This window comes from Homo sapiens, chromosome 10 (assembly GCF_000001405.40).
Source record: "Homo sapiens chromosome 10, GRCh38.p14 Primary Assembly".
NCBI classification, from domain to species: Eukaryota; Metazoa; Chordata; class Mammalia; order Primates; family Hominidae; genus Homo; species Homo sapiens.
In genome coordinates this window covers 20,364,613-20,375,485 of record NC_000010.11, presented here as the reverse complement: position 1 = coordinate 20,375,485, position 10,873 = coordinate 20,364,613, and the positions used below count along the sequence as shown (strand labels likewise).

Below are 10,873 nucleotides of genomic sequence, written 5' to 3'. Positions count from 1 at the left end.
CAAAATGTAAATTGGTAATAACCAAGCTACTTTGGAAAGCAATTGTACAATTGTAAATTATAAATCTGACATGATTTATCCATTTCACTCCTAGGTATTTACTCAAGAGAAATGACACTGTATGTCCATAGAAAAACTTGTACACAAATATTGACAGCAGCACTATTAGTAATAGCCAAAAATTATAAATAGTCCAAATGTTCATCAACAGGTTTATGATTTTAAAAAATGTTGTATATCTCTCTAATGGAATGTTACTCTGGAACAAAAAGAAATGAACCATTGATCTACACAACAACATGACTAACTCTAAAAAATTATGCTGAGTGAACAAAGCCAGACAAAAAAGGGAGATATACTGTAGAGTTCCAGGTAATATAAACTTATGTATAGTGACAGAAAGTAGATGATTGATTGCTGGAAATTGGGGACAGAAATGATCATTTCATAATATTTAACGTGTAATATTTACACATTAATATTACAATTTATTGTATGTTAATTATACCTTAATAAAGCTATTAAAAATTATGAAATGCAGTTTAAGTTAGATAGAACTACGCTTATATCCTCCAATGCATATGTTAGAGAATAAAATAATTTAAATTAATGAACAAACTTTTACTCAAAAAAAAATCACAGTGTGATATGGTTTGGCTGTGTCCCTAACCAAAAACTCATCTTCAATTCCCATATGTTGTGGCAGGAACCCAGAGGGAGGCAATCAAATCATAGGGGCATGTCCTTCCTATGCTGTTCTCATGATAGTGAATAAGTCTCACAAGATTTGATAGTTTTATAAGGGGGAGTTTCCCTGCACAAGCTCGCTCTTTTTGCCTGCTGCCATCCATGTAAGATGTGACATGCTCCTGTCTGCCTTCCAACATGATTGTGAGGCCTCCCTAGCCACATGGAACCTTTTCCCTGTAAAAATTACCCAGTCTCGCATATGTCTTTATCAACAGTGTGAAAACAGACTAACACGCAGAGTAAGTCCAAAGAGAGTAAAAGGAAGAAAGTAATAAATAAAAGCAAATTTTAATGAGATATAAAACCAAGGAATATAGAAATAACACAACCAATGTCTTGGTTCTGAAAAATCTGATGTGATGAATAATCTATGGGCAGATTGATAAAAACAATCAAGATAATGAGCAAGGGACAAGCAGTATAGCTAATAGAAAATATGTAAACATACGAGAGATTACCATGACTAATTTTACGCCAACAGATGTGAAAACTTGGATAAAATTATTGTTTCTAGGAAAATATTAATTCATAGAAGTTACCTAAGAAGAAATTGAAAGCACAAATAAGTCTATATTCATTTATGAAACTTGAATCAGTAGCCAAAATACACCCACAAAATGTTACCATGCCCAAATAGTATTACAGAAGAGCTTACCAAAATTTGCTTACAAATAATCCATATATTAAAGAAATTATTTCATAAAATAGAAAAAGTAGGAATTTTTCACAACTGTTTATTAATGCTATGGCAACCTTTAATCCCGAAATTTGACAAAAGAGGGTATAAGAAAGAAAATTTATAGTTTAATATTACATAAATAGAGATATAAAAATCTTAAATACTGGCCAATTGCATCCAAATAGTCTAAATAAAATCTATCATAAAATACGTAGATTTTATTTTAGAAATTTAAGAATTCTTTGTTAATAGAAGTATTTTAATTCCAATAAGCATATGAAAATGAATAAGTGAAAATCAGCAGAATGTAAATGTATCCAGCAAGTAGATATTAGTTCACACTAGTATAATGGGCAATAATCAAAATGTCTCAGAAGATGAAGTATTAGAGAAAATATGGAAACATGGCAATTCTAATATACTGATTGGGGACTGGAGTGGGCAGGGGTTAGGGGACGATGAAACAATTAATTGAAAGAACAATTTTGCATTAAATAGTAACTTCATAGATACTCATACCTTTTGTCCAGGAATTTTATTTCTATGTCTACTTCCCAAAGACACCCCTCATGTTAACCAGCCTATATGACCTAGCTGAATTCTACCCCATCCTAACTTCTTTAAGAAACAGGGACTAGGCACGGTGGCTTACACCTGTAACCCCAGCACTTTGGGAGGCCAAGGTGGGCAGATCACCTGAGGTCGGGAGTTCGGGACCAGCCTGACCAACATGGAGAAACCCTGTCTCTACTAAAAATACAAAAAATACAAAAAAAAGTTAGCCGGGCATGGTGGCATATGCCTGTAATCCCAACTACTAGGGAGACTGAGACAGGAGAATCGCTTGAACCCTGGAGGTGGAGGTTACGGTGAGCCGAGATTGCACCATTGCACTCCAGCCTGGGCAACAAGAGTGAAAGTTCATCTCAAAAAGAAAAAAAAAGAAAAGAAACAGGATGCCTGTGACAAAGTTCTACTTATAACCAGACCACCTGAGACTGGTTAGAATCATGGTAGCTAATCAAAGGACTTAACAACTTCAAAAAGAGCTCAGGTTTCATTATAATCTCATTCTCATGCTAAATGACACTCCCACTAGTGCCATGACAGTTGACCATCACCATGACAGTTTACAATCACCATGACAATGACCAGAAGAAGCCATTAAAGGACAAAAGGAAGGTGGCACTCAAGTTCACCACTCATTTCTGGAAAAGACATGAATATTCCTCACCTCATTTTTAATGGCCAACCCCTTCATTAGAGAGAGCCTATATTTTTGCCCTCTCACTCCTCACTTGTCCTAAAGTTGATTTCTGAGCCAGGTTCCTGCCTTTCAATTATGTAGCCATGGAATCAAGTCCTCACTAGTTGATGCTCCCTTTCAGCTTTGTATATAGGCTTCAGTGACACCAAACCCAGAAAAAGCCCATCTTTGGGGGGAACAGATTTGTCGATATGCATGTGTCAGACATATGACCAAGCACTTCTCTATTTTTTTATACCTCTATATATTTCCCAGTACAAGTGTATTAAAGTAGCATACCACATTAACATACCACATTAACATTTTAAAGATAAAAATTTATGTGATTATATAGATTCCAAAAAAAAAGCATTTGAAAATTCAATAGCAATATATAATTAAAACAAAGCAAAATATAAAATCCATCTAGCTAACTGGGAATAAAAGGAAACTTTCTTAGTCTGCTAGAGGGTATTTGCCAAAAATCTGTAGTACACATAATATTTAATAGTAAAACACTGGAAGTTCTTTAAAGCTAAACCAAAAATAAGACAAGGATACTTGTCGTCACCATTTCTATTCAATTTATTTTTCTAGGTTTTAGCTAGTACAGTAGACCTAAAAACAAAGAATGTAGAACAGAAGACAATTTTTATTTTACTAAAAATAGAATTCAGAACACACAGTTAATATGGAAATATTAAAAGCTCCAATATTGCTCTAATGAATACCACAGAAAAAACCAAAAAACAACAAAAGTTCTCAGTATATAGGAATAAATGAACAAAAAACTAAGTAGATAAAAGAAAGCAACAAAGTTTTCAGTATATAGAAATAAATGAACAAACCATTAAATAAGTAGATAAAAGAGATAAAAATATTTATGATAAAATACTCAATGGTATAAAAATACCTATTCCTTCTAACTTAAAATAAAAATCATGTCATTTCAATCACTGGCAAATTGATTTTTCTTTTAAATTTCTCCCAAGAATATAAACAACTTATAAAATTAATACAGAAGACTAAAGAATGGAAAATATCCAAGATATTTAAGAATAGGGTGGAAACATATGCCCTACAATAAGTTAAGACTTACTGTAATCCAAGATAATTAAAAGATATTGACATTAACGATAAATAAAAGATACAGAATTCGTTCAAAAATAGACCCTCAAATCTATGGGAGATTGATATATAACAGATTTAGTATTACATATCAGCAAGATATGATGGACTTTTTAGAAAATAGTTCTAGCAGAACTGGTTATTCATATTAGAAAAAAATTAAAGGTGATCATCATGGCTGACAGGAGGCAGAACTGGATTGCAGCTCTGACTCGGACAGACAGAACAGTGTGCGGAGGCTCACATCACGAATTTGAGCTCCCAAACGACTACAGGAATAAATCAGGAATCCTGAGAGGACCCACCAACCCTCTGAAGGAAGCAGACTGCTCCTGCAGGACCCAGGAGACACCCCAAATACTGTGAGTGCCCAAACTGAGGAAGTGGGTGTCAGGCCTCTGAGCCCAAGCCAAGCCATGGCATCCCCTGTGACTTGCATGTATACGCCCAGATGGCCTGAAGTAACTGAAGAATCACAAAAGACATGAATATGCCCTGCCCCACCTTAACTGATGACATTCCACCACAAAAGAAGCGTAAATGGCCGGTCCTTGCCTTAAGTGATGACATTACCTTGTGAAAGTCCTTTTCCTGGCTCATCCTGGCTCAGAAAGCACCCCCACTGAGCACCTTGCAACCCCCACTCCTGCCTGCCAGAGAACAAACCCCCTTTGACTGTAATTTTCCTTTATCTACCCAAATCATATAAAATCGTCCCACCCTTATCTCCCTTCGCTGACTCTTTTCGGACTCAGCCCGCCTGCATCCAGGTGAAATAAACAGCTATGTTGCTCACACAAAGTCTGTTTGGTGGTCTCTTCACACGGACGCGCATGAAAGTGGGAAAGGGAGATCATTTGCCCCTGAACAAACACCCCCACTACGGACACAGAAGATCTAGTTTGCAGGAGAAGTTCCTGACCTTACCTGGAGCTGAGTCCATTTAGAGAGCCGAGCGAAATACAGGGGTAGAGGAAGCAGCAGCAAAGGCCCTAGAAGCTTGCTGGGTCCCCAAGCAGGCCATTCCTGCCTGGCCTCACAGGGATCCTTTGGGAGGGTGGCCAGAGGCATGAGGAAAATGCCACGGAGAGAAGGAAGTCTCCAGCTGAACTTTATAACAATTTGAACAGGTGGAGAAGCCTCCTGGCCAGAACTCAAGGGAGGGCACAAATCCAGCGTGTAGACTCCACAGGTGGGGGAAGAACGAAAGCCCTTTTCTTTCACAGCTGGGAGGTGGGTAGCCTGCGGCAAGTTCTCACCCCTGCTTACCCACTGCTTGGAAACAGACTCAATGCTTTAGAGGGGGCATGGTGAGAGTGAGACTGGCCATTTGGATTGCATGGGAGCTGGGTGAGGCCTGTGACTGCCAGCTTTCCCTCACTTCCCTAACAACCTGCATGACTCAGCAGAGGCAGCCATTATCCTCCTAGGTACACAACTCTATTCACCTGGGAACCTCACCCCCCCCTCCCCCACAGCAGCCACAGCAAGACTCACCCAAGGAGAGTCTGAGCTCAGACACACCTAGCCCTGCCCCCACTTGATGGTCCTTCCCTACCCACTCTGGTAGCTGAAGACAGAGGCTTCCAGAGCCTCTGTCTTGGAAGTTCTAAAGCCCCACCCACTCTCTGGTTTCTCTCCATGTTACCACAGCTGATGCTCTCCGGAAAGCGCCGCCACCTGGCAGGAGGCCAACAAGCACAAAAATAGAGCATTAAACCACCAAAGCTAAGAATCCTCACAGAGTTCATTTCAGCCCCCTGCCCCCTCCATTGGAAAAGATGTTGGTATCCACAGCTGAGAGATGCATAAATGGTTCACCTCACAGGACTCTGTGCAGACAACCCCCAGTAACAGCCCAGAGCCTGGTAGACTTGCTGGGTGGCTAGACCCAGAAGAGAGATAACAATCTCTACAGCTTGGCTCTCAGAAAGTCACATCCATGGGAAAAGGGGAACAGTACTACATCAAGGGAACACCCTGTGGTACAAAAGAATCTGAACAACAACCTTCAGCTCTAGACCTTCCTTCTGACAGAGCCTACCCAAATGAGAAGAAACCAAAAAACCAACTCTGGTAATATGACAAAACAAGGCTCTTTAACATCCCCCCCAAAAAAATCACACTAGCTCACCACCAATGGATCTAAACCAAGAAGAAACCCCCAATTTACCTGAAAAAAGAATTCAGGAGGCTAGTTATTAAGCTAATCAGGGAGGCACCAGAGAAAGGTGAAGCCCAATGCAAGGAAATCCAAAATATGATACAAGAAGTGTAGGGAGAAATATTCAAGAAAATTGATGGCATAAAGAAAAACAGTCAAAACTTTAGGAAACATTAGACACATTTGTAGAAATGAAAAATGCCCTGAAAAGTCTCAGCAATAGAATTGAACAAGTAGAAGAAAGAAATTCAGATCTCTAAGGCAATGTCTTTGAATTAACCCAATCCAACAAAGACAAGGAAAAAAGAATAAGAAATATGAACAAAGCCTCCAAGAAGTCTGAGATTATGTTAAATGACCAAACCTAAGAATAATTGGTGTTCCTGAGGAAGAAGAGAAATCTAAAAGTTTGGAAAACATATTTGAGGGAATAATCAGGGAAAACTTCCCCAGCCTTGCTAGAGACTTAGACATTCAAATACAAGAAACACAAAGAACATCTGGGAAATTCATCAAAAAAAGATTATTGTGTGTCATCAGGTTATCTAAAGTTAAGACAAAGGAAAGAATCTTGAGAGCTATGAGACAGAAGCACCAGGTAACTCATAAAGGAAAACCTATCAGATTAACAGCAGATTTCTTAGCAGAAACCGTACAAGCTAGAAGGGATGGGGCCCTATCTTCAGCCTCCTCAAACAAAACAATCATCAGCCAAGAATTTTATGTCCAGTGAAACTAAGCATCATGTATGAAGGAAAGATACAGTCTCTTTCAGACAAACAAATGCTGAGAGAATTCACCACTACCAAACCACTGCTACAGGAACTGCTAAAAGGAGCTCTAAATCTTGAAACAAATCCTGGAAACACATCAAAACAGAGCCCTTTAAAAACATAAATCTCACAGGACCTATAAAACAAAAATACAATTTAAAAAGCAAAAACAAAAATGAAAAACAAGGTATACAGGCAACAAATAACATGATGAATGGAATGGTACCTCACATCTCAATACTAATATTGAATATAAATGACCTAAATGCTCCACTTAAAAGATACAGAACTGCAGAATGGATAAGAATTCACCAACAAACTACCTGCTGCCTTCAAGAGACTCACCTAATACATAAGGACTCACATAAACTTAAAGGGGTGGAAAAAGGCATTTTATGCAAATGGGCACCAAAAGTGAGCAGGAGTGGCTATTCTTACATCAGAAAAAACAAATTTTAAAGCAACAGCAGTTAAAGAGGACAAAGGGACATTACAAAATGGTTAAAGGCCTTGTCCAACAGGAAAATATCACAATCCTATACATATATGTATCCAACACTGGAGCTCCCAAATTTATAAAACAATTACTAATAGACCTAAGAAATGAGATAGGGAGCAACACAATAATAGTGGGTGACTTCAATACTCCACTGACAGCACTAAACAGGTCATCAAGACAAAGTCAACAAAGAAACAATGGATTAAAACTATACCTTGGAACAAATGGACATAAGATATATATATAAAACATTCCATCCAACAACCACAGAATACACGTTCTATTCAACAGCACATGAAACTTTCTCCAAGATAGACCATATGACCATAGGTTACAAAATGAGCTTCAATAAATTTAAGAAAATTAAAATTTTATCAAGCACTCTCTCAGACCACAATGAAATAAAACTGGAAATCAACTCCAAAAGGAACCTTCAACACCATGCAAATACATGGAAATTAAATATCCTGCTGCTGAATGATCACTGGGTCAAAAATGAAATCAAGATGGAAATTTAAAAATTCTCTGAACTGAACAATAGTAGTGTCACAACCTATCAAAACCTCTGGGATACATCAAAGTTGGTGCTAAGAGGAAAGTTCATAGCCCTAAATGCCTACATCAAAAAAACTGAAAGAGCACAAACTGACATTCTGAGGTCACACCTCAAGGAACTAGAGAAACAAGAACAAAGCAAACCTAAACCCAGCAGAAGAAAGGAAATAACCAAGTTCAGAGCAGAACTCAATGAAATTGAAACAACAACAACAACAACAAAATACAAAATGTAAATGAATAAAAAAGCTGGTTCTTTGAAAAGATAAATGAAATTGATAGATCATTAGCAAGATTAACCAAGAAAAGAAGAGAGAAAATCCAAATGACCTCAATAAGAAATGAAATGGGAGATATTACAACTGACAGCACAGAAATACAAAAGATCATTCAAGGCTACTATGAACACCTTTACACACAGAAACTAAAAAACCTAGAAAAGATAGATAAATTCCTAGAAAAATGTAACCCTCCTAGCTTAAATCAGGAAGAATTAGATACCCTAAACAGGCCAATAACAAGCAGTGAGATTGAAATGGTAATGTAAAAATTACCAACCAAAAAAAATCCAGGACCAGATGGATTCACAGCAGAATTCTACCAGACATTCCAAGAAGAATTGTTACCAATCCTATGGACACTATTCCACAAGATAGAGAAAGGGGGAGCCCTCCCTAATTCATTCTATGAAGACAGCATCACCCTAATACCCAAACCAGGAAAGGACATAACCAAAAAAGAAAACTACAGATCGATATCCCTGATGAACATAGATACTGAAATCTTAACAAAATACTAGCTAACTGAATCCAACAACATATCAAAAAGTTAATCCACCATGATCAGGTGGGTTTCATACCAGGGATGGAGGGATGGTTTAACATATGCAAGTCAATAAATGTGATACACCACATAAACAGAATTAAAAACAAAAATCACATAATCATCTTAATAGGTGCAGAAAAATCATTTGACAAAATCCCGCATCCCTTTATGATTAAAACTCTCAGCAAAATTGGCATACAAGGGACAGACCTCAATGTAATAAAAGCCATCTATAACAAACCCACAGCCAATGTAATACTGAATGGGGAAAAGTTGAAAGCATTCCCTCTGAGAACTGGAACAAGATAAGGACGCCCATTTTCACCACTCCTCTTCAACATAGTACTGGAAGTCCCAGCCAGAGCAATCAGACAAGAGTAAGAAATAAAAGGCATCCAAATCAGTAAAGAGGAATTCAAACCATCACTCTTTGCTCATGATATGATCATTTACCTTGAAAACCCTAAAGACTCCTCCAGAAAGCTCCTAGAACTGATAAAAGAATTCAGCAAAGTTTCCAAATACAAGATTAATGTACACAAATCAGTAGCTCTCCTATACACCAATGGTGACCAAGCAGAGAATCAAATCAATTACTCAACCCCTTTTACAATAGCTGCAAAAAACAAAATTGGAAAAACTTAGTAATGTGTCTAACCAATGAGGTGAAAGACCTCTGGAAGGAAAACTACAAAACACTTCTGAAAGAAATGAAAGATGACACAAACAAATGGAAACATATCCCATGCTCATGGATAGGTAGAATCAATATTGTGAAAATGACCATACTGCATAAAGCAATCTACAAATTTAATGCAATCCCCATCAAAATACTACCATCATTCTTCACAGAATTAGAAAAAAGTATTCTAAATTCAAATGGAACCAAGAAAGAGCTTGCATAGCCAAAGCAAGACTGAGCAAAAGACCAAATCTAGAAGCATCACACTACCTGATTTCAAACTATACCATAAGGCCATAGTCACCAAAACACCATGGTACTGGTATAAATATAGGCACATAGACCAGTGGAAAAGAATAGAGAATCCAGAAATAAACCCAAATACAGCCAAGTGTTCTTCAATAAAGCAAACAAAAACATAAAGTGTGGAAGGGATACCCTTTTCAACAAATGGTTCTGGGATAATTGGTTAGCCACATAAAGGAGAATGCAACTGGATCCTCATCTCTCATACTATACAAAAATCAACTCAAGATGGATTAAGGACTAAAATCTAAGAGCTGAAACTATAAAAATTCTACAAGATAATACTGGAAAAATCCTTATAGATGTTGGCTTGTGCAAGGATTTTATGACCAAGAACCCAAAAGCAAATGCAATAAAAACAAAGATAAATAACCAAGATTTAACTAAATGAAAGAGCTTTTGCACAGCAAAAAGAGAAGTCAGCAGAGTAAACAGACAACCCAAAGAGTGGGGGAACATCTTTACAATCTATACATCTGACAAAGGACTAATATCCAGAATCCACAACAAACTCAAAGAAATTAGCAAGAAAAAGACAAACAATCAAAAAGTGGGCTTTTTGGTTGTTTAGTTTGGTTTAGTGGGCTAAATCCTTAGCCCATCAAAAAGTGAACTAAGGACACAAATAGACAATTATCAAAAGAAGATGTACAAATAATAGCCAACAGAAATGTGAAAAAACGCTTATCATCACTAATGATCAGGGAAATGCAAATCAAAATCACAGTGTGATACCACCTTATTCCTGCAAGGATGGCCATAATAAAAAAATCAAGAAACAGTAGATGTTGATGTGGATGCAGTGATCAGGGAACACTTCTACACTGCTGGTAGCAATGTAAAATAGTACAGCCACTATGCAAAACAGTGTGGAGGTTCCTTAAAGAACCGAAAGTAGAACTACCATTTGATCCAGTAATCCCACTACTGAGTATCTACCCAGAGGAAAATAAGTCATTATATGAAAAAGATACTTGCACATGTTTACAGCAACACAATCCGTTAATTGCAAAATCGTGGAACCAACCCAAATCCCCATCAATCAATGAGTGGTTAAAGAAAATGGAATACTACTCAGCCATGAAAATGAATGAATTAATGGCACTTGCAGTGATCTGGATGAGATTGGAGACTATTATTATAAGTGAAGTAACTCAGGAATAGAAAATCAAACATCATATGTTCTCACTGATATGTGGGAGCTAAGACATGAGGATGCAAAGGCAAAAGAATGATACAATGGACTTTGGGGACTTGTGGGGAAGG

The 10,873-nt window shown here is 37.4% G+C and overlaps 2 annotated features.

Moving 5' to 3' along the window:
- Nucleotides 2,308–2,929: an enhancer, noted in NCBI's record as "OCT4-NANOG hESC enhancer chr10:20661486-20662107 (GRCh37/hg19 assembly coordinates)". NCBI's record gives its function as "activates a minimal SCP1, AML or CMV promoter by ChIP-STARR-seq in naive H9 embryonic stem cells {active_cell/tissue: H9 hESC(naive)}" and the evidence as "EXISTENCE:reporter gene assay evidence [ECO:0000049][PMID:30033119]".
- Nucleotides 4,208–4,852: an enhancer, noted in NCBI's record as "OCT4-NANOG-H3K27ac hESC enhancer chr10:20659563-20660207 (GRCh37/hg19 assembly coordinates)". NCBI's record gives its function as "activates a minimal SCP1, AML or CMV promoter by ChIP-STARR-seq in naive and primed H9 embryonic stem cells {active_cell/tissue: H9 hESC(naive and primed)}" and the evidence as "EXISTENCE:reporter gene assay evidence [ECO:0000049][PMID:30033119]".